Raw genomic sequence first — 19,271 nt, forward strand, 5'->3', positions numbered from 1 at the left:
CCTGGGTTCAAGCGATTCTCGGGCCTCAGCCTCCCGAGTAGCTGGACTACAGGTGCACCCCATTACCATGCCTGGCTAGTTTTTGTATTTTTAGTAGCGACGGTGTTTCACCATGTTGGCCAGGCTGGTCGTGAACGCCTAACCTCAGGTGATCCACCTGCCTCGGGCTCCTAAAGTGCTGGGATTACAGGCATGAGCCACCGCGCCCGACCTGCATCAACGTTTGCTCAGGGGGCAGGTGGTCAGGCTGATGGCCCAGCTGCAGGCAGGGTCATTTCCAGCCTGCCCCTCCCTGAGGCTGCGTGCCAGGGTTCATGTGTGCCCTCCGCGGCTCTGCACTGACCCCGCCGGTAGCTGGGGAGGAGTTTGGGCTTGGCGCCTCCTTCGTGTAGTGGCTGAAGCTTCCCGGGTGCTCCTCATTCCTGGGAAGGGAGTCGGGTGATGGGAACGGTGGGAGCTCAGCGCTCCGAGTCTGCGGCCGGGGGCCAGCGGGGCTGAAACGCGCCTCCTGAGTGTTGAAAGCGGCAGGCGCCGGCCTTTGCACCCAGAGGCCAGGGCGTCTCACTCACCTTCACATCCAGGCCTCTTAGGGGAGCGCGGCTTTGGCTTTTCCAGGAAGGAATGGACTCCAACGGACAGGGAAAGAAGAAGTGTGGAGAGACGGGCAGGATAAGCAGGCACTGGGCCCAAGCCGCCCTTGGAGGCTCTGCCTGTTCTGATCTGAAGGCGGAGGCTCAGCCGTGCTCTCCCAGGAAGCCACCTGGGCGTTTGGGGCTTTAGCTAGGAAAGAGGATGTCGCCTGCGGCTGCGAAGGCGCCAAAGCCCAGACCTCGCGCCTCCGCCCGCGACGGCGGCACTGGGGGCCCGGAGCGGGCGGGAGACGTGGATTACTGCGGGCTTCGGGGCCCTAGCCTCGACCGCGACGTTCGCTCGCATCGCGTACGGACAGAAACCCGTGAGCGCTGAAGAAAGAACACCTGAATCCGGAGCCCCAGCCCCCGTCGCTCGTTTGCGCGACCCCAAAACCTGGCGGGACGAGGGTCGCCCGATGTCTAGCTGCCGCCACAGACGACGCTTTTGCGTCTGCGCAGCGCGCCGCCTTGTGGGTAATCTCAGGGTGAGACGAGGCTAGCGCGAGGTACGGCTAGAGCGTCATTTCCGGCTCGAATGCCCGGCAGCCGTGGCGGCTAGAGCGTTCCTCCCCAGCTCGAATGCCCGGCGGCCGAGGCGGCTAGAGCGTCGCCTCCTCCCGGGGAACCGCGTGTGACCTTCCAGCCCGCGGACCGATGCTGCCGGCGGCCGCTCGCCCCCTGTGGGGGCCTTGCCTTGGGCTTCGGGCCGCTGCGTTCCGCCTTGCCAGGTACGCGGGATCCTGGGGCGGTCCGGGCCGGCAGGCGGGTTAGGGGGCAGCCGGGCACTGAGGGGTCGATCCGGGCGAGGAGGGCGGCGGGGCCGGCCTCCCTGCAGCGGCCAGGCCGGGCTTGGGGGTCCCATCGGGGGCGCGGGGAGGAGGCCTCCCGGTGCGCACGCCCCTTCCCTCCTGGGCCGTGGAAAGCGCCGGGGTCGGCCCCAGATGACCTTGGACGATTCCCTGCTCCTCCCTTGGCCTCAGCCTTTTCCGCAGCAAAGGCCCATCCGTGGGTGCGGCGTTTTGCGGCCAGGGGCCCCCATGTTTTGGGAGGCTTTGCGCAGGAAGATGCACCTAAGTAATAGTTTCGCCACCGCTGGGTTGATGTAGTTCATTCAAACCAGAAACTTGAGGTTTGAGTGGTATGGCTGCAAATAAACACGTGGCTTTCTAAGGCTCTTTGAAGAATTTAAAGTAACTTGCAAATCTTATCAATACGGACCCCTTGAGGTCTGAGAACCCTGGACTGGGACCAAGGAGCTAGGTAATTTCCGGCCCTAGTGATTACCAGCCTGAGCTTATGGCACCCACCAGTCCCCCAGTTGTCCTGCCCCTCTGGTTTCTGCAGCCCCTTCCATTCCAGGACTGACAAGTCTGTTTTAATTGGGGGTGGGGGCTAGGCGACAGGTGCCATGTGTCTGTGCCGTGCGACATATGAGGAGCAGCGGCCATCAGAGGTGTGAGGCCCTCGCTGGTGCACCCCTGGATAACGCCCCCAAGGAGTACCCCCCCAAGATACAGCAGCTGGTCCAGGACATCGCCAGCCTCACTCTCTTGGAAATCTCAGACCTCAACGAGCTCCTGAAGGTATCGTGAGAGGGTGGCACAGACCCAGGGGCTGGAAGTTTCAGGGCCCCTGTGTTTTGTTCCTGGTGTATTTTGGGAGTTTGGTAAATTGTCAAAAGTGTGTTTGTCCAGGTGCAAGGTCCATGCCAGGCTAGTTGCCCCTCCTCAGTAGGTTCCGGCTGGTGTGAGGGCCAGCTGTGGACACTGTTCTCTATCTCTGCAGAAAACGTTGAAGATCCAGGATGTCGGGCTTGTGCCGATGGGTGGTGTGATGTCTGGGGCTGTCCCTGCTGCAGCAGCCCAGGAGGTGAGTCCTGGGCAGAATGAGGCATTTCTGGGGTGCCCAGTTCGCCTGTGGCCTCATGTGCCGTGGTCCCGTATCTCAGGTTCTGCAGCTACCGTCATTGTCTGCAGCCTGCACACCTGTGCGGCATCCTGCAGCCTCCTGGGACCTACTCCCTGCCACGGATGTGCACGACTTTGCATGTGGAGACCATGTTTCTAATGGAGGGAAACAGACACTAAGCTGAGAGAGGAAAAAGAGGCTGGGCGTGGTGGCTCACGCCTGTAATCCCAGCGCTTCGGGAGGCCGAGACGGGTGGATCACTTGAGGTCAGGAGTTCGAGGCCAGCCTGGCCAACATGGTAAAACCCCGTCTCTACTAAAAATACAAAAAAAAAAAAATTAGCTGGGCCTGGTGGCACATGCCTGTAATCCCAGCTACTCGGGAGGCTGAGGCAGGAGAATAGCTTGAACCCGGGAGACTGTCTCAAACAAACAAACAAAATAAATAAATAAAAATAAAAATAAATAAATAAATAAAAATACAAAAATTAGCCGGCGTGGTGGCAGGTGCCTGTAATCCCAGCTACTTGGGAGGCTGAGGCAAGAGAATTGCTTGAACCAGGGAGGCGGAGGTTGCAGTGAGCCAAGATCATACTACTGCCTTCCAACTTGGCAACAGAGCAAGACCCTGTCTCAAAAAAAAAAAAAAAAAAAAAAGAGGAAAAAGAAAGGAAGAAATTATACCAAATAGAACATTGTAAGCATTGTGGGGAAAAGGAGGGAAGAGGCTCAAGGTGGGAGGGAGAGTTCCAAGTTCAAGGTGGGCTTCAAAGAGGAGGCAGACATTGTAGAAGAGAGCACGGCCTTCCTGGCGGAGGACGGGGAGGCACCAAGGTCACCAGGCAAGAGGGTGTCTGACAATTCAGGGAGCAGCAGCGAGGTACAGGCTGGCGCAGGCGAAGGGGTGTAACAAGCAGCTCCGTCCTTGGGTCTTTGCAAGGAAACCAGTGAACTTGAAGCCGCCAGTTGCGTTTGGTCATCGGGTTGCGTGAACCTCTCCACCGGAGCCCTCCCCTCAGCCCCTTTCCCCCACTGGGGAACCAGGTTGTGTACTGTAGAGTGTCCCATGTTCCAGATGCGTGGGGTGCCCATGGGGCAGCATCACTCATGCCTGAGAACTGGAAGGTAGTTTAAAGGCTGATTAGATTCAGGCCGAGCGTTTGGGTAAGAATAGCTGGGATTACTGTAGAGCCTGTTGTGTAAACTGGATTGCTTTTGAGGAGGGAGAAGATGTTATTAATAGCCTTCCCAGGCCGTGGGGACACGCAGCCCCCTGCCCTCGGGTGGTGCTGGGTCTCCATGCGCCACGTCAGAAGCGCAGCGTGCCCGTCAGTCCCATGGCGGGTTGTCATTTTCTCGGCACACGTGCACTGCAGTGTGGCTGAGAAAGGAATGGCGCTGCTTTTATCTACAAAGCACTTTTGGTGTCGTTCTTTCCTGTCTCATAAGTTACGCTTTCTAAGCGAGAGGGGAGTAGAGTATTGAGGGAAGGACTGTGAAGCATGTTTTTATTTATTTATGAAACCGAGTCTCACTCTGTCACCCAGGCTGGAGTGCAATGGCGCGATCTCAGCCCCCGCCTCCCGGGTTCAAGCAATTCTCATGCCGCAGCCTCCCGAGTAGCTGGGATTACAGGCGCGCACCACTAGAGACAGGGTTTCACCATATTGGTCAGGCTGGTTTCAAACTTGACCTCAAGTGATCCACCCGCCTTGGCCTCCCAAAGCGCTAGGATGACAGGCGTGAGCCACCGGAGCCACCACTCCCGTCCGAGGCATGTTACAAAGAGTTATTGGGCAGACCTGCCTCTGACTAGCATGAGAGAAAAAGCACCAGCTGGACTCGCGAGGCCAAGGCAGGAGAATCGCTTGAACCCAGGAGGTGGAGGTTGCAGTGAGCTGAGGTCGCACCACTGCACTCCAGCCTGGATGACAGAGTGAGACTCCGTCTCAAAAAAAAGAGAAAAGAAAAGAAAAAGCACCAGCTGGTTAAGGATTGATGAGTTGGGAGACGTGACTTCCAACTCCAGGCTTCGCTGGGGCCTCCGCTGCACCTCCCTTTGGGGCTTTAGACTGGGGTGGCCCAGCAGTGGAGGCGTTAGCTCCCCCCAGCCCTTTGTCACCTGGCTCCCCTTCTTTCCTGCTCCCTAAGGCGGTGGAAGAAGATATCCCCATAGCGAAAGAACGGACACATTTCACCGTCCGCCTGACCGAGGCGAAGCCCGTGGACAAAGTGAAGCTGATCAAGGAAATCAAGAACTACATCCAAGGCATCAACCTCGTCCAGGTCTGTGCCGCGGTGGGGGTTCCGAGGCAGGTTCCGTTGTGGTGGCCAGGGCCCCCAGTCCCTGACTTTGCTCTCTCTGGCAGGCAAAGAAGCTGGTGGAGTCCCTGCCCCAGGAAATCAAAGCCAATGTCGCCAAAGCTGAGGCGGAGAAGATCAAGGCGGCCCTGGAGGCGGTGGGCGGCACCGTGGTTCTGGAGTAGCCTCCAGCTCGGAGGACTTGTGTTCAGGGGTCCTGGGCCCCGGGCGAGGTCCCGCCCTCCCGTGGTCACTGGCTCCGCCCCCAGCACCAGGCGCCCAGTGGAGCCGTTTGGGAGAATTGCCTGCGCCACGCAGCGGGGCCGGACAGGCCGCACAGACCTACTGTGGCGGGAGGGAGGGGCGGCTGCTGCCTGGTGACGGCACCCGGAGGCCCACCAGGACGCGCCACCGGTGAATGTGCCTCTGGTGGCTGCTGAGAAAAATACACTGTGCAGCTCAGTGTGTGGAGTGCCGTGCTCAGGCCGGGCTGCCGGGCCAGTGCGGGGATCCGGGCAGCGTGTGGAGTGCGGTGCTCAGGCCGAGCTGCGGGGCCAGTGCGGGGATCGAGGCTGGTACGGGATGGGAGGCTTGTTCCCTGCCTCCTCAGCAGACATCTGAGAGTCTACAGACATTCATCAGGTCCCCGGTGTGCAGGGCCCTGTCCTGAGACCCCACAGTGGGCCTGGTGGACGGCAGTGGTGTGGAGGACCTGGGCAGCGGGAACCCTCCCTGTTTTCAGTGTTGGCCCTCTTTAAGGCAACAGGAAGTTCAGCACTCGCCTGAGAAACCGAGGCAGCCTTGGAGCCGGCGATGCCACCCCTAGCTTAGGCTGCAAGTACCCCTGAACCTAAACCCGGCCACGGGGCTGCGCAGGGGGATTGGGGAGGGGTGTGGGATGCACCTGCCATCTGCAGGGTTGGGGTGTCAGCTGTTCCTCTGGGGCCCTTAAGTGGGGTATCCTGGGACCTGGGCAAAGCGGCAGGAGGGGCTTGTGGACATGGGGACCGGGAGTGCCGTGGTCAGCTTGGAGCACTGGTCACTGTGCACTTGGTGAGGTGTGGCCCAGTGCTGGGCAGCCCTTGGCAGCCACTCTCGGGCTGCAGACCCCTTGGTGCCACTGCTGAGTACAGGGGGTGTGGCCCCATGGCCTGGCTGGAACGGCCAGGGCCTTGCTTTGAGGACCCGTGGCCGCCTTTTCTTGGGCACGCCTGTTTTCAGCCAAGCCTGGGAGAGAATCAGCGAATTTCTGTCTCAGCTGGCCCGTGACCAAGGCCAGCCCCCAGGCTGTGGGCCCACAATGAGGCCAGAGACAGGCCATGTTCCGCACCTGCTTCGGGAAACATGCCTGGTGTGATGGCCCCGTAGGCTGCCATGCCCTCCAGCCTCAGTTTTCCTGGTGGAAGGATCCCTTGGATGGGACCAGAAAGGGGCACCGTGTGTCTGGAAGCTGCCCACTGGCTGGGACTCCTGGGGGAGCGGGAGGGGCAGGGAGTTTCAGGCTCACTGTGCGTGTACACCCTGCCTGGCCCAGGTCCTCTTCCAAGGCCTTCTGGTAGAGTTTCTCTGACTAACCTGCTGTCCCCAGGAAAGGCTGTCCCAAGCCAAGCCTGGAAGTCCCCATTGGCCATGGTATCCATTTTGAGGGGTTAATGGTCTTCCCTCAGGAGGTGACACTGCCACCTGGAGCTGGGTGCATTCTGCCTGGTGCCCTGCTGACCCCAACTGCCTTTCCCCTCTGGAAGGCAGCGAACATCTGAGCTCAGGGACGAGCCCTGCTTGAGGTCAGACAGACATGCTGTCTTCATCCAGGCTGCACCCAGGCCAGATAGACCAGCAAAATCTCTGCCCGCGACTCCTCGCTGTCTACCCTGGCTCAGGCGTCTGCCAGGCCACTCGCAGGAGCCACCGAGAGGCCCTTTCCTCCCTGCCGGGGGACCCCCAAAATAACCTGTGGATGCCAAGCAGCAGGACACTGCGGTGGATGCCAGGCCGCAGTCGGAGGCTGGACGGGGAGCCCTGTCCCGTGAGCTTGCTCAGTCTGCCCCAACCACCCCCTTGGGCCTACCGACATAACTTATGATCCGTTTGAGAATCCATCAGGGATCCTTGTGAGTCCCCGACCTGCAGTTCTAGATTCATCATTTGAAAAAGCCTCTGGCCCTGGATGCATTTCCTGTTTTCAGGATTCCTCGCCTTCTGACTGCTCTCCCAGCATCTCTAGCTCACGGAGTTCACAAACTTCAGTCCCCTACAGCTCCTTGCACTTTTGTTCTATTTTTTTTAATGTTTTATTTACTTATTTATGTATTTATTTTTATGAAACGGTGTCAGTTTGTCACCTGGGCTGGTGGTGCAGTCTTGGCTCACTGCAGCCTCCACCTGCCGGGTTCAAGCAATTGTCCTGCCTCACCTTCCCAAGAAGCTGGAATTACAGGCATGCACCACCACGCCCAGCTAATTTTGTATTTTTATTAGTAGAGATAGGGTTTCACCCTGTTGGCCAGGCTGGTCTTGAACCTTATTTTTATCTTTTTTAATTTTAATTTTTTTTGAGTGAGTTTTGCTCTTGTCACCCAGGCTGGAGTGCAATGGCACGATCTTGGCTCACTGCAACCTCCACCTCCCAGGTTCAAGCGATTCTCCTGCCTTAGCCTCCCTAGTAGCTGGGATTACAGGCGCCCGCCACAACACCCAGCTAATTTTTGTATTTTTAGTAGAGGCAGCGTTTCACCACGTTGGCCAGGATGGTCTCGAATTCCTAACCCCAGGTGATCACCCACCTCGGCCTCCCAAAGTGCTGGGATTACAGGTGTGAGCCACCACACCTGGCCTATTTTTATTTTTTAATATAGACACGATCTCACTCTGTCACCCGAGCTGGAGTGCAGTGGCCTGATCAAGGCTCACTGCAGCCTCAGCCTCCTGTGCACAAGCAATCGTCCTACCTCATCCTCCCAGGTAGCTGGGACTATAGGCACGTGCCATCATGCCTGGCTAATCTTTTGATTTTTTTTAGAGATGTGGTCTCACTGTGTTGCGCAGGCTGGTCTGAAACGCCTGGCCTCAAGAGATCCTCCTACCTTGGCCTCCCAAAGTGCTGGGATTACAGGTGAGAGCTGCCCTGCCCAGCCTTTTTTGTTCTTTGTAAAGCTCTTCAGTTCCTGCTCCTTACCCGCTGGGCCCTGCTCTTTCTGCTTTGGAGCAGTTCTTCCTTCAGCAGGGAGCCAGTGTTCTGTGGGTTGGGGGGTCTCTGCCAGCAGCCAGTTTCAGCCCTGTCTTGCAGGTGGCCTTCGGAGGGACAGGTTGCAGCCCAGGCCCGCCCCCCTCCTTCCTGGAGTGTCTCACAGACTCAGGGGACACTGGCCCTCCAGGCCCTGCTTCCCCCAAGGTTTCCATCCATCGCCTCTTGATTCTTGGTAATCGGGAGCCGATGGATGCAACTCATCTCGGTTTACACTGAGTGAGACAGGCGCTGTGGGCACAGCCAAGTCTGCGGGACTCAGTCAGGTGTGAGCCTGGATGGCCCCGGACAAGGAAGCCTGTCCTCTTGCTGGGAAATTTCCGTTAAGATCGGGCCACTTCCCCTGCTTCCTAACGGTTGAGTCTGTTTGCTCTGGGCCTTTTAAGCCCAGCGTGATCCCTCTGAGTCCCTGCGGTGCATTTGCGCCATCTCCACGCTTCCTGTTGAGCCCCAGCCCAGGCTTGGTGCGGGCAGTGCTGCACTGCACTCTCCTGGTTGCCTCCTGAGCACCTCCACCCGCTTCCCCACCAGGCGTGGCTGTGTTTTCACCCCCAGTGTCCATCTGGCACCCTTCTCGATTGCCAGGTAGTTACGGTCTGTGTGGGCAACACCTGAGGGACCCAACCAAACCAAGGTCCAGGACACACTTCCGGGCAGGGGTACCGCCTCTGGTTAGCTGCTCACTCCCCAGCCCAAATCTTCCGCTGATGACTTCTGGGGTCAGAGGCCACCTAAGGGTCTAGAAAACAGTCTCCTCCAGTTGGCTACCTGCCTACGTTGGGGTTACGGCCCAATAAACCCACAGCCAAGCTGAAAATCCTAAGTGTGCGTCTTGCGCTTCCGACACAGCCAGGGCATCGCTGGATGCGCAGAGGCAGGGCTGGACACATTCTGGTGCTTGAGGGGTTCCAGGGACCACGAGTTGTTTTTCCGGTGCTCCTCACCCTTCGCCCTGGAGGGTGGGGGAGGCCGGACAGCAGTGACCAAGCTGGAGCTGCAGGTCTTCATCCCTGTGGCCCAGCCCTAAAGCAGCCTTGGGGACTTAAATTTCATTTTGCCCAGCAGGTGCACCTGGGCCAGGAACACACCAGCGCCTCCTTGTTCTTCGCAGGGAAGTGGAATCCAAGCAGGGGCCCAGATGCAGGCAGGCATCTCCTGGGAACAAGAGCCCCAGAATCCACCCCGGGGCCCCACTTCCAGGGTGGTTGCCTGGGGCGTCTGGTCAGAGCCAGACCAGAACTGAGCAGGAGCTTCCGGGCATCTGTGTGTGGGAAGGGAGAGGCAAGTCCTTCCTAACCGCCTTTTTTCCCAGTTTTCATTCAGTCTGGCCCCAAGCAGGTTCTTTTTTTCTTTTCTTTTTCTTTTTTTTTTTTTTTTTTTTGAGATGGAGTCTCGCTCTGTCGCCCAGGCTGGAGTGCAGTGGCGCGATCTCAGCTCACTGCAACCTCTGCCTCCCGGATTCAAGCGATTCTACTGCCTCAGCTTCCTGAGTAACTGGGATTACAGGCGTGAGCCACCGCGCCCGGCTCCCGAAGCCGGTTTTCTGTTCTCTTGCAGCTGGGCCGGGGCTGAGCCCTCGGTGGGGGCAGGGGTTGCAGACCTGTGGACGCAGGGCCCACGCCGCACACACGTGGCCCCCGCCAGGTGACTCACGAGCCAGCGCCTGCGCGGCGGGGTGGCCACCGGGTGCAGGTTCAGGGCCAGGGGCCGGGCCTCCTGGGGATTGGCAGGGCGCCCGCCGCGGTCCCATGTGCCTGGGGCCGGTCCCCGGGCGGTGGCCTTCGGCCCTGCGCTCCGGCCTGGAGAAGGGAGGACGCCAGGGGCCCGGGGGAGTGGAGGCGGCCACGCAGCAGCCCCGGAGCACCCGCGCGTCCGCAGGCCGGGCCCACCGCGCTCGGCGCCCCTCGCGGCCGCTTTAAGGCGCCGGGCCCGCCTCAATCGCAGGGGGCGTGGCCTAGCGGTCCCGCCCCCGGGGCGCGCGCGCGCATTGGCTGTGCGGGGTGCGGGCGCGCGGGCGGCGCTTTGAACCGGGCGCGGGGCGCGGGGCGCGGGGCGCTGCGGCCGGTACACGCCGGGGTAGGGCCGGGGTCGGGTTGTGGTCGGGCCGGGATTGGGCTCTCCTGGGCCATGGCAGCCGAGGCGCGCGTGTCGCGCTGGTACTTCGGGGGGCTGGCCTCCTGCGGGGCCGCCTGCTGCACGCACCCGCTGGACCTGCTCAAGGTGAGGCCGGGGCCCGGGACGCGGGGCGGATGGGACCCTGGCGCCGCCGAGACGCCTGCAAAGGCAGCAGCCCGGCCCCACGCACCCGGGGATCGCCGCGCCCGGGGCTCCCTCCTGGAGAGCGCGAGGAGGCCCCCGACGCCCGGATGGCCGATCCCGGGTGGCCCTCCAGTGGTGGCCGCCGAGCTCGAGGCCTGCAGGGCGCAGCCGCGCTCCCCAGCTTCCCAGCCGGCTTCCCAGTTCTCGGCAGGTGGCGATCCAGCCCCAGCTCTACACTTTAATACCTGGTGACCTTGGGGGAGTCACTTGGCCTCTCTGAGCCACCCACCCCCATACATTCAAGAACGCTCCTTCCGCCTAGTTAGAAGTTGTGGGGGGAGTTCTGTGAGGTGCACAGGTGTTGGCATCTAGAGACGTGCTGGCTGTAGCATACCCAGGGTGTGGGCCAAGCCGCCCCCCACCCAGGGGTGTTTAGCACACCGCCGGACGTGTCCCTGGGCAAGTGGGGTGACCCGATGCCCCGGCTTTGGGCTGCTTCCTTCGGAGAGCTGCGTGGGCACTGGAAGCGATGTTAGGACCAGCACACCCCCAGGAGAGATGCCAGGAGACCCTGCACGCGTGTGGTCCTGGCCCTATGAAAGCGGGCGTTTCTCAGCACGAGAAGCAGCCACCGTTTTTTTACTTTTTTTTTTTTTTTAATGCTTATGGGGCAAAATAAGACAGAGCTCTCCTTGTTTCCCAGGGACAGCCAAGGGGCGTTGTTTTCTGACCGTGTCTTGCCACAGAGAACAAAGAAGAAAGGGCCTGAGGCTTTGCACAGTCTGCCCAGCAGGCCCTGCCCTGTGAACCTGGCTGTGGTCACTGGGCAGCCGCCTGTCTAGGGGACCTTTATTTTAGCAGCCTGTCCAGGGGACTTGTATTCCAGCAGCCTTTGAGGGGACTGGCTTTACTAATGAGCAACAATGCTGGTCGCTGCGTGAAGGCCAGGTGAGCAGATGTGGGCGTCTTGGGGCACCTGAGACCTCACTGGTCCTGGGAGAGGCCTTCAGAGCTCCCAGGCCACAGGCAGCCACGGCCAGTGAGATGCAGCCACAGCGACAGGAAGGCGCTGGCATGGGCAGAAGAAGCGAGCCCCTCCTTGGCATCGGGCTCTTCCTTTCCTCCTGGGCGCCGCACAGGTGCCCCTCCCCCAGGGCCTCTCCCACGTTCATCTGGGTGTTGAAGGCGGGACCTGCGTGCTGCTGTCCCTTGTCCGGGGTCTGAGCCCCACTGCCCCTTGGCCCTCCCCAACCAGGCGCTCTCTGGCTGCAGAACACCGCCTGGGGGAGGCGGGACTGCCCTCTGGCCTGGGAGGGCGGGAGGAGCCAGCTGCTGGCAGCATATGGCGCTGTGGTCAGGGTGTGCTCCTGAGGACTGCTCACCAGGCCTCTCTGCCTGGCCGTCGGAAAGATCTTTTAAAGCTTCTTGAGCACTTTGTCCCATGTCCCTACAGTCCCTACCGTCGCATCTGGCCGGGACGGGGGCTGCTACCTGTGTGGCCCAGTCCCTCTGTTCTGCTGGGCTCGCACAATGGGAGGCCCCTCTCTGTCCCCACCCATCTTTGCCGACCCCTGGGCGTGCGTTACGGGGCCGCGCACGTGCAGGTCACACTGAGCGGCGGAAGGACTTCTTTGGGGTCAGTGCTGGGGGTGGGACCCAGGAGCTGGGATCCTGGGCCAGGTGCTGGCCTTCCTGTCTGGCCCTGGCCAATCCCCCTACTGCCGGGAGCTCTCAGCTGGCCAGGCGAGGAGGCAGAGGTCCTGTGAGTGGTGGAGGCCAACAGAATGGGAGGTTGTCGGGCTGACAGCCCCCGAGTGCCTGCCCACAGCTCCTAGGTGCTTTGCAGAGGAGGCCGCTATGCCCTGCCGCCAGCCACACCGTCCCCTTGTCTGCTGCTGAGCTCCTGCTGCCTTTCAAGGCCTTCTATGGCTACCTCCTCAGTCTCCCATGGTCCTGCAGGCTCCCTCGCCGTTTCTGAGCGGCCATAAACGTTTGTCCCTCTTGAGACGTGGTGTGGTGGATAAAAAGTAGGGCTCTGGGGTCTCCTCGCTGGGCCCAAATCCTGATGGCACCAGCGGGTGCGTTACCTCTCCATGCCTCAGTTTCCTCATCTGCAGAAGGAGAATGGCGAGCCCCTGCGGCCAGTGCAGCCAATACTCAGGTGGTACGCGGGGCGCTCGCGGGGCTCGCGGACACTCTCAGCTCCATGTCCACTGGTGTGGTTGCTGTTGGAAAGCAGTGGTGTGAGCTGGTTCCAGGCACGGGTGTGGAGTCCCCGGGCAGGGCCGTGGGAGGCCTTATCACTGCCTCCTGCCTCAGTTTCCCCCTCTCTGGATGAACCTGGCACCGATCCCTCGGGGTCGCTGTGGGGTCTGAGAGCACTCACTCCCGCAGGTGCATCTGCAGACGCAGCAGGAGGTGAAGCTGCGCATGACGGGCATGGCGCTGCGGGTGGTGCGTACCGACGGCATCCTGGCACTCTACAGCGGCCTGAGCGCCTCGCTGTGCAGACAGGTGCGTGGTGTGTGCCAGCCTTGGGCTCCCAGACTGGGGCTGAGTCCTGCAGTGGCATCCAAGCTACTTCCGTCCCCTTTTCAAGACTTTGTGCAAGGAAGGACCCACCAGGCCGAGAGCTGGTGACCCCAGGGTGCGCCTCCCATGGGCACCCACCCAGTTTGCAGGGCTGGGCCTGAGACCGCCACTTACTGGTGGGGAAGCTGAGGCCCAGGGAGTGAGAAAGCAGGGTGCAGCTCTAGATTTGTGAACTGGCTCAGCCGCATGCTGGCACAGTGGCCTTGGGAAGGCCCCTCAGGGTCCCTGTGGCCCCTCGGGCTGAGGGGGATCCCTGGCTGGGCCGGGTGGCGAGGCTGAGGGGTGTGGGGCGTGCCCGTCCCTCCAAGCCAGGCCCTTCTCCCCCAGATGACCTACTCCCTGACTCGGTTCGCCATCTACGAGACTGTGCGGGACCGTGTGGCCAAGGGCAGCCAGGGGCCTCTCCCCTTCCACGAGAAGGTGTTGCTGGGCTCCGTCAGCGGTGAGCTGCCGGGCGGGAGGGGGAGGGGCGCGGGGTGGTCAGGTCGGCCGAGGACGCCGTGTGTCAGCACGGCTCATCTCTGGGGTTTGTGTCACCGCAGGTTTAGCTGGAGGCTTCGTGGGGACGCCCGCAGACTTGGTCAACGTCAGGTTGGTGTTCCCCCACCCCACCTGCAAGGCCAGGGGCTTTCTTGTCCCCAGACATGCCAGGGCCTGCCAGGGCTGCTTGCAGGGTGGGGTCAGCCTGGAATAAGCCACTGAGACCCTGGTGTCCTGGGCATAGGAGGGTGGGTGTCCCTGAGCCCCGGCGTGCCCTGTCCTGTGGGCCCCGCTGACCAGCGTGAGCTCCCCTGTGCTGCCAGGGCTGCCCATGCCCCTCGGCCCGCCCGCCCCTCCCGCCACCTGCTTCTGTTTCAGGATGCAGAACGACGTGAAGCTGCCCCAGGGTCAGCGGCGCAAGTGAGTCATGGGCGGCCTTCTCGGGGTGGTTGAGGTGCAGGAGGCTCGGGCGGGAGCGGACCCCTGGCTGCTCTGCCGTGACCCAGCTGAGGCTCCAGCAGGCCGAGGTGCCTGCACGGTCCATGGAGGGTCCTGACGGCTGTTCTGGACTCGGGGGTGTCACTCTGCGCCCCCAGGACCTTTGGGTTCTTCCTGTGGGGAGAGCCTTGTTGGATTGGGGGCTGGGCCTGTTTGCACCCCAGGGTGGTGAGTGCGGAGGCGAACGCCCCAGGCATGGAGAGAGCGCATGCAACAGAAACGCCCGAAGGAGGCGCTGCCTCCCTGCCCAGCTCAGGGCAGCTGTGCCCTCCTGCCACGGCCTGGGGTCTTTCCAGGGCCCGGGGTCCGCTCCAACTGCAGTGTGAGCCACTTCCCCCGCCCCTTCCAAGGACCCCTGGGGAGTTCTGGCTTCTAGCTGTGCACACAGACTGTGTTCCCCCAGGACCCCGGGGGCTGGCGGGCAGGAGGCCTGCATGCTAGGAGCGGTGCCCAGCCAGGGACTCTGTTGGAAACGATGGAACCTCCTCCCTGAGGGCCGGGCGGGGCGGGCGAGGTGGCTGTGGGACGTCAGGACCAGCTTCATGTTCCCAGGGAGAGATCTTCAGGCCCATGAGGCCTCTGCTTCCTCGAGAACCCCCGGCCTGCCTCGGGGCCTGGGAGGACCCTCTGTGGGAGCCGGTGGTCAGGGGGAGTCTCATGTGGTCATTCTGTGTCCCCGGCAGCTACGCCCATGCGCTGGATGGCCTGTACCGCGTAGCTCGTGAAGGTGAGGGGCAGGTGCTGTGCACAGGCAGGGTTCTGGGGGGCAGGCAGGGTGGGCAGCGCTGTAGAAGACTGGGCGCTGAGGGATTTGGGCCAGGTGCCTGGCCTCACCCCTTGCCTCACCCCTTGCCTCACCCCTTCCTTGTGCAGAGGGTCTCAGGAGACTGTTCTCGGGTGCAACCATGGCATCCAGCCGAGGGGCCTTAGTCACTGTGGGCCAGGTAGGCCTCCTGCGTGGGGTGGGTGTGGGCAGTGCCTGTGACCACTGACCTCCATCTTCAGAGGGGCCATAGAACAAGGCACTGGGCGCCAAAACCCTCCTGGGGAGCCACCAGCTGTGACCTTGTGGGGCAGGGTGGGGGGCACGGGTGGGTCAGGGCTGCAGCCTGTGAAGGACCTCGGGCAGGTGCCTCCCCTGTCTGGGCCTCACGGACGGACAGACGGAGCAGGTGCTTGGCCATTGCCAGGTGGTGTCGCCTGGGGCCCTGTGTGCTTTCCCCAAGCTGGGGTCCCCCCTACAGCCCTGACCGCCCTTGTGCCCCTGCAGCTGTCCTGCTACGACCAGGCCAAGCAGCTGGTCCTTAGCACCGGGTACCTCTCTGACAACATCTTCACTCACTTTGTCGCCAGCTTTATTGCAGTAAGTGGCCGGCATGGCTAGGGTGGGCGTCCCTGGGCCGGCCTTGGGCGCTGAGGGCACCCAGGATGGGGCGAGGGCTGGGGGAGGCGGGGGCCTTGGGCATCTGGCAGTGCCCCCTGGGGCTCATAAGTGGGGTGCCAGGGCTTTGGGAGCTCATGGGTCAGCCTGGTGCCCCCGCCAGCATGTTCCTGGCCCGCCCTAGGAGTCAGGTGGAGGTTCTGGCACGTGGGTGGGATTCGGCGATGGTGCCTGGCGTACCTGACAGGCCGCTGGTGACGAGCCCCCTCCTCAGGGTGGATGTGCCACGTTCCTGTGCCAGCCCCTGGATGTGCTGAAGACTCGCCTGATGAACTCCAAGGGGGAGTATCAGGTGAGTGGGGCCCTGCCTGTGCAGTTGGGCTGCACAGCCCAGCGAGTCCCCTCACCTCTCCGGGGGGTGGACACTCGCACTGGGGACCCGGGGAAGGGTGTCCCTCCCTTCTAGTTGCCTGTCTCTGCACAGCACTTGCCTTGGGAGAGGGTTGTGCCTTTGAATGCCTTTGCCTTGTTTTTGTTTTTAGAGAAGACTTCTTGGCCCGGCGCAGTGGCTCATGCCTGTAACCCCAGCACTTTGGGAGCCTGAGGCAGGCAGACTGCTTGAGTCTAGGAGTTCAAGACCAGCCTGGGCAACATACTGAAACCCTGTCTCTACCAAAATTACAAAAATTAGGGGCCAGGTGCGGTGGCTCATGCCTATCATCCCAGCACTTTGGGAGGTCGAGGCAAGCAGATCACCTGAGGTCAGGAGTTCAAGACCAGCCTGGCCAACATGGTGAAACCCCCTCTCTACTAAAAATACAAAAAATTGGCTGGGTGTGGTGGCGTGCGCCTGTAATCCCAGCTACTCGGGAGGCTGAGGCAGGAGAATCGCTTGAACCTGGGAGGCGGAGGTTGCAGTGAGCCGAGATCACACCATTGCACCCCAGCCTGGGCCACAAGAGTGAAACTGTCTCAAAAAAACAAAACAAAACAAAATTGGTCAGGCTTGGTGGTGCATGCCTGTAGTTCCAGCTACACAGGAGGCTGAGGTGGGATAATCCCTTGAGCCCAGGATGTCCAGGCCACAGTGAGCCGAGATTGCACCACTGCATTCCAGCCTGGGTGACAGAGTGAGACTGTCTTAAAACATTTCTTTTCGGCCAGGCACGGTGGCTCACGCCTGTAATCCCAACACTTTGGGAGGCCAAGGCGGGCAGATCACAAGTCAGGAGTTGGAGACCAGCCTGACCAACATGGTGAAACCCCGTCTCTACTAAAAATGCAAAAAAATTAGCTGGGCCTGGTGGCGCACGCCTGTAATCCCAGCTACTCAGGAGGCTGAGGCAGGAGAATTGCTTGAATTCAGGAGGCGGAGGTTGCAGTGAGCCGAGATTGCACCACTGCACTCCAGCCTGGATGACAGAGCGAGACTCTGTCTTAAAAAAACAAAAAACAAAAAAAAACACATTTCTTTTCTTTCTTTTTTTTTTCCCCTCATTGCAACCTCCACCTCCTGGGATCAAGCGATTCTCCTGCCTCAGCCTCCCAAGTAGCTGGGATTACAGGCGCCCGCCACCATGCCCGGCTAATTTTTCATATTTTTAGTAGAGACAGGGTTTCACCATGTCGGCCAGGCTGGTCTTGAACTCCTGACCTCAGGTGATCCGCTTGCCTCGGCCTCCCAAAGTGCTGGGATTACAGGCACGTGCCACCACTCCTGGCTAATTTTTGTATTTTTAGTAGAGACAAGGTTTCGCCATGTTCGCCAGGCTGGTCTTGAACTCCTGGCCTGAAGTGATCTGCCGCCTCAGCCTCCCAAAGTGCTGGGATTACAGGTGTGAGTCACTGTGCCCGGCCAAAAACATTTCTTTCACAGATTAACAGAGGTGGTGCCGTTCATGGCAGTCTGTGCCTCATAGGTGCTCTGGGTCTCCTGTCTTGGGCCCCCGCCAACTCCATGGGGCTTCCACGTTTGCAGAGCCCATAGCTCTGTCCCTTTTCTTCTCCCTGACGCTGCCGTGCTGCATCCCTGATTCTCATGGTTCTGTTCACAGCCCCCTCTGCCCACTGGACCCCGGGCTGCACCCTCGGGCCCTGGTTGTACCGCATGAGCAGGCAGGGTGGCCGTTGACCTGGCTGGTGCCTGCAGACCTGTGGTCACCTGTTACCAGCCAGCAGCCGCCGCTCACACCCACACCCACACCCACACCCCACATTGAGAATGCCCAGGCCACCGTGCCTGGCTGGTGCCTGGGAGGGGATTTTCGTTGCCTTTTGGGTGAGAAGCAGCCTTTTTGATTGTTTCACTGCGTTTTCTGCAGGGCGTTTTCCACTGCGCCGTGGAGACAGCGAAGCTCGGGCCTCTGGCCTTTTACAAGGTGCAGTGGTGGCGGCAGTGGCGGCTTGGGCAATGGGGAGCGGGCCCCTTCGGGCTCTGTGTCTCTCATTTTCCCTGTCTCCCTCCAGGGCCTCGTCCCAGCTGGCATCCGCCTCATCCCCCACACCGTGCTCACTTTTGTGTTTCTGGAACAGCTACGCAAAAACTTTGGCATCAAAGTGCCATCCTGACCAGCCGTGGGAATGGCTGGGCTGCCAGGCCAGACACGCTAGGTTCTTCCAAAGAGTCCCAAGCCCAGCACCTGCTCCTGGGGCCACGACCTCCCTGGCCGTGGCCACCCGTCCTCCGCAGCAGGCCCCTGCTGTCCCCCCACCTGCTGGCTGAGCTCCTCCTGGCCTCGTCCCCTCTCAGCTGTAGCTGCACCACCCCCGCTCTGGCTACCAGGCTCTCCCGGCTGGGCACTGCGTGGCCTTGCCCCTCTCCCGCTGGCAGCTCCTCAGGGGAACAGGGGCTACCAGAGGCTGATTTCTCCCCTCTCCTGGGCCAGGGGAGGGGTATTATCCCTGCCTCCTGCCCCCGATGCCCAAAGCAGCATCTTCCAGCACTTTCCATCGAGGACTTGGGTGGCAGAGTGTGGGTGCAGCCTGGCTGTTGCTCACCCAAGTGCTAGCTCTGCACTTCGTGTCTGCTGAGAGCAACCAGACCTTCCATGTCCTCGGGCAGCTGCAACTCCCCGCGAGACCCCGCAGCTGGGTGGGATGAACAAGCAACGCAGACCACAAGCGAGTGCCTGGGAGGGAGTGGCCCAGGGTGGTTCTGGAGCCATTGTGGGTGAGGGTCGAGGGCCACCGAGGTCCCGCGCACCGCTGCCTGCCCTGCAGTGGCTTTAACAGTTAGTTTTGCCAAAGCCTCTCCACTCACCAGCAGGCGGTCTCTGTCTTCAGGGATTGTGCCTGCGTCCCTCGGGCACCTGGGCCCCCCCGCTTGGCTCCCTGGGGGAATGGCCCAGGCGGGCCGCGGTTCCTCCTTAGGGCCTTCTCCCCGACAAGGAGTCCGACGGGGCGGATGCTGCATCCTCTGCCTCCCTGGTCGCTGGGCTTCACCCCACCTGGGAAGGGCAGTGTGCTCTGTGGGGGCTGCAATCAATAAATGCCGGGAGCTGCCACATCTGTTCCTGCCTGCGCTGCCTGCCCGCTGGCTGCCTTGCTGTCCAGACCAGCAGGACCCCCTGCACCCCCTAAGGAGGACCGGGCCAAGGCCTTTTGGGGAGGAGCCAGGGTCCTCGCTGTGCATTTGGATGAAGGAATTGGGGAAGTAGGAGGAACCAAAACCGGTGTGGGGGGAAGGGAACAAGACGGTGAGGCTGGGGTTGAGGGTCTCAGACACAGGATCTGGCTCTGTCATTCAGACTGGAGTGCAGTGGCACGATCTTGGCTTACTAACCTGGGCCTCCTGGGCTCAAACCAGTCTTCTACCTCAGCCTTCCAAGTAGCTGGTGCTATGGGCGTGCACCATCATACCTGGCTAATTTTTGTATGTTTTTGTAGAGTTGGGGTCTCACAATGTTACCCAGGCTGGTCCCAAACTTCTGAGCTCAGGGGATCTGCCCATTTTGGCCTCCCAAAGATGCCCTTTTTTT

General features: G+C 61.1%; 2 protein-coding genes across 6 annotated transcripts, besides 14 other annotated features; both read left to right on the plus strand.

Annotated features, from left to right (window-relative positions):
* Positions 32-635: an enhancer, noted in NCBI's record as "NANOG-H3K27ac-H3K4me1 hESC enhancer chr17:79669277-79669880 (GRCh37/hg19 assembly coordinates)". NCBI's record gives its function as "activates a minimal SCP1, AML or CMV promoter by ChIP-STARR-seq in naive H9 embryonic stem cells {active_cell/tissue: H9 hESC(naive)}" and the evidence as "EXISTENCE:reporter gene assay evidence [ECO:0000049][PMID:30033119]".
* Positions 32-649: a biological region, named in NCBI's record as "NANOG-H3K27ac-H3K4me1 hESC enhancer GRCh37_chr17:79669277-79669880".
* Positions 580-649: an enhancer, noted in NCBI's record as "active region_12977". NCBI's record gives its function as "activates an Ori minimal core promoter by ATAC-STARR-seq in GM12878 lymphoblastoid cells {active_cell/tissue: GM12878}" and the evidence as "EXISTENCE:reporter gene assay evidence [ECO:0000049][PMID:35858748]".
* Positions 636-1,239: an enhancer, noted in NCBI's record as "NANOG-H3K27ac-H3K4me1 hESC enhancer chr17:79669881-79670484 (GRCh37/hg19 assembly coordinates)". NCBI's record gives its function as "activates a minimal SCP1, AML or CMV promoter by ChIP-STARR-seq in naive H9 embryonic stem cells {active_cell/tissue: H9 hESC(naive)}" and the evidence as "EXISTENCE:reporter gene assay evidence [ECO:0000049][PMID:30033119]".
* Positions 636-1,519: a biological region, named in NCBI's record as "NANOG-H3K27ac-H3K4me1 hESC enhancer GRCh37_chr17:79669881-79670484".
* Positions 1,140-1,519: a silencer, noted in NCBI's record as "silent region_9146". NCBI's record gives its function as "represses an Ori minimal core promoter by ATAC-STARR-seq in GM12878 lymphoblastoid cells {active_cell/tissue: GM12878}" and the evidence as "EXISTENCE:reporter gene assay evidence [ECO:0000049][PMID:35858748]".
* On the plus strand, positions 1,152-5,302 carry MRPL12 (mitochondrial ribosomal protein L12). Its single transcript, NM_002949.4, has 5 exons — positions 1,152-1,360; positions 2,029-2,215; positions 2,418-2,501; positions 4,691-4,825; positions 4,909-5,302. The coding sequence occupies exons 1-5, from the start codon at positions 1,287-1,289 to the stop codon at positions 5,023-5,025; spliced, it is 597 nt and encodes a 198-aa protein (NP_002940.2). The 5' UTR covers positions 1,152-1,286; the 3' UTR covers positions 5,026-5,302.
* Positions 5,227-5,356: a silencer, noted in NCBI's record as "silent region_9147". NCBI's record gives its function as "represses an Ori minimal core promoter by ATAC-STARR-seq in GM12878 lymphoblastoid cells {active_cell/tissue: GM12878}" and the evidence as "EXISTENCE:reporter gene assay evidence [ECO:0000049][PMID:35858748]".
* Positions 7,966-8,666: an enhancer, noted in NCBI's record as "H3K4me1 hESC enhancer chr17:79677211-79677911 (GRCh37/hg19 assembly coordinates)". NCBI's record gives its function as "activates a minimal SCP1, AML or CMV promoter by ChIP-STARR-seq in primed H9 embryonic stem cells {active_cell/tissue: H9 hESC(primed)}" and the evidence as "EXISTENCE:reporter gene assay evidence [ECO:0000049][PMID:30033119]".
* Positions 8,344-8,638: a silencer, noted in NCBI's record as "tiled region #10385; K562 Repressive non-DNase unmatched - State 5:Enh". NCBI's record gives its function as "represses a minimal TATA promoter and a strong SV40 promoter by Sharpr-MPRA in K562 cells {active_cell/tissue: K562}" and the evidence as "EXISTENCE:reporter gene assay evidence [ECO:0000049][PMID:27701403]".
* Positions 8,344-8,638: an enhancer, noted in NCBI's record as "tiled region #10385; HepG2 Activating DNase matched - State 5:Enh". NCBI's record gives its function as "activates a minimal TATA promoter and a strong SV40 promoter by Sharpr-MPRA in HepG2 cells {active_cell/tissue: HepG2}" and the evidence as "EXISTENCE:reporter gene assay evidence [ECO:0000049][PMID:27701403]".
* Positions 8,841-9,110: an enhancer, noted in NCBI's record as "active region_12978". NCBI's record gives its function as "activates an Ori minimal core promoter by ATAC-STARR-seq in GM12878 lymphoblastoid cells {active_cell/tissue: GM12878}" and the evidence as "EXISTENCE:reporter gene assay evidence [ECO:0000049][PMID:35858748]".
* Positions 9,711-10,380: a silencer, noted in NCBI's record as "silent region_9148". NCBI's record gives its function as "represses an Ori minimal core promoter by ATAC-STARR-seq in GM12878 lymphoblastoid cells {active_cell/tissue: GM12878}" and the evidence as "EXISTENCE:reporter gene assay evidence [ECO:0000049][PMID:35858748]".
* On the plus strand, positions 10,069-18,797 carry SLC25A10 (solute carrier family 25 member 10). Of its 5 annotated transcripts, none has more exons than NM_001270888.2 (11): positions 10,069-10,304; positions 12,738-12,857; positions 13,263-13,377; positions 13,478-13,526; positions 13,794-13,835; positions 14,597-14,640; positions 14,787-14,857; positions 15,184-15,276; positions 15,542-15,646; positions 17,616-17,672; positions 17,761-18,797. In NM_001270888.2, the coding sequence occupies exons 1-11, from the start codon at positions 10,212-10,214 to the stop codon at positions 17,860-17,862; spliced, it is 891 nt and encodes a 296-aa protein (NP_001257817.1). In that variant the 5' UTR covers positions 10,069-10,211; the 3' UTR covers positions 17,863-18,797. The 5 variants fall into 5 exon arrangements, with proteins under 5 accessions (NP_001257817.1, NP_036272.2, NP_001257882.1 ...); NM_012140.5 differs by having other exon boundaries at positions 15,569-15,646; NM_001270953.2 differs by having other exon boundaries at positions 15,267-15,276; positions 15,569-15,646.
* Positions 10,391-10,500: a silencer, noted in NCBI's record as "silent region_9149". NCBI's record gives its function as "represses an Ori minimal core promoter by ATAC-STARR-seq in GM12878 lymphoblastoid cells {active_cell/tissue: GM12878}" and the evidence as "EXISTENCE:reporter gene assay evidence [ECO:0000049][PMID:35858748]".
* Positions 10,511-10,560: a silencer, noted in NCBI's record as "silent region_9150". NCBI's record gives its function as "represses an Ori minimal core promoter by ATAC-STARR-seq in GM12878 lymphoblastoid cells {active_cell/tissue: GM12878}" and the evidence as "EXISTENCE:reporter gene assay evidence [ECO:0000049][PMID:35858748]".
* Positions 18,798-19,271: the final 474 nt, after the last annotated feature.

Source organism: Homo sapiens, chromosome 17, assembly GCF_000001405.40.
Source record: "Homo sapiens chromosome 17, GRCh38.p14 Primary Assembly".
Lineage (NCBI taxonomy): Eukaryota > Metazoa > Chordata > Mammalia > Primates > Hominidae > Homo > Homo sapiens.

Excerpts from the sequence above, each read along its gene's own strand:
- SLC25A10 (NM_001270953.2), top strand. The coding sequence starts at position 10,212 with ATGGCAGCCGAGGCGCGCGTGTCGCGCTGGTACTTCGGGGGGCTGGCC. Across the intron at positions 13,378-13,477 it reads GTTGCTGGGCTCCGTCAGCG|GTTTAGCTGGAGGCTTCGTG; the intron begins GTGAGCTGCCGG and ends GTGTCACCGCAG. Across the intron at positions 13,836-14,596 it reads CCCCAGGGTCAGCGGCGCAA|CTACGCCCATGCGCTGGATG; the intron begins GTGAGTCATGGG and ends TGTCCCCGGCAG.
- MRPL12 (NM_002949.4), top strand. The coding sequence starts at position 1,287 with ATGCTGCCGGCGGCCGCTCGCCCCCTGTGGGGGCCTTGCCTTGGGCTT. Across the intron at positions 1,361-2,028 it reads GCTGCGTTCCGCCTTGCCAG|GCGACAGGTGCCATGTGTCT; the intron begins GTACGCGGGATC and ends GGTGGGGGCTAG. Across the intron at positions 2,216-2,417 it reads ACCTCAACGAGCTCCTGAAG|AAAACGTTGAAGATCCAGGA; the intron begins GTATCGTGAGAG and ends CTATCTCTGCAG.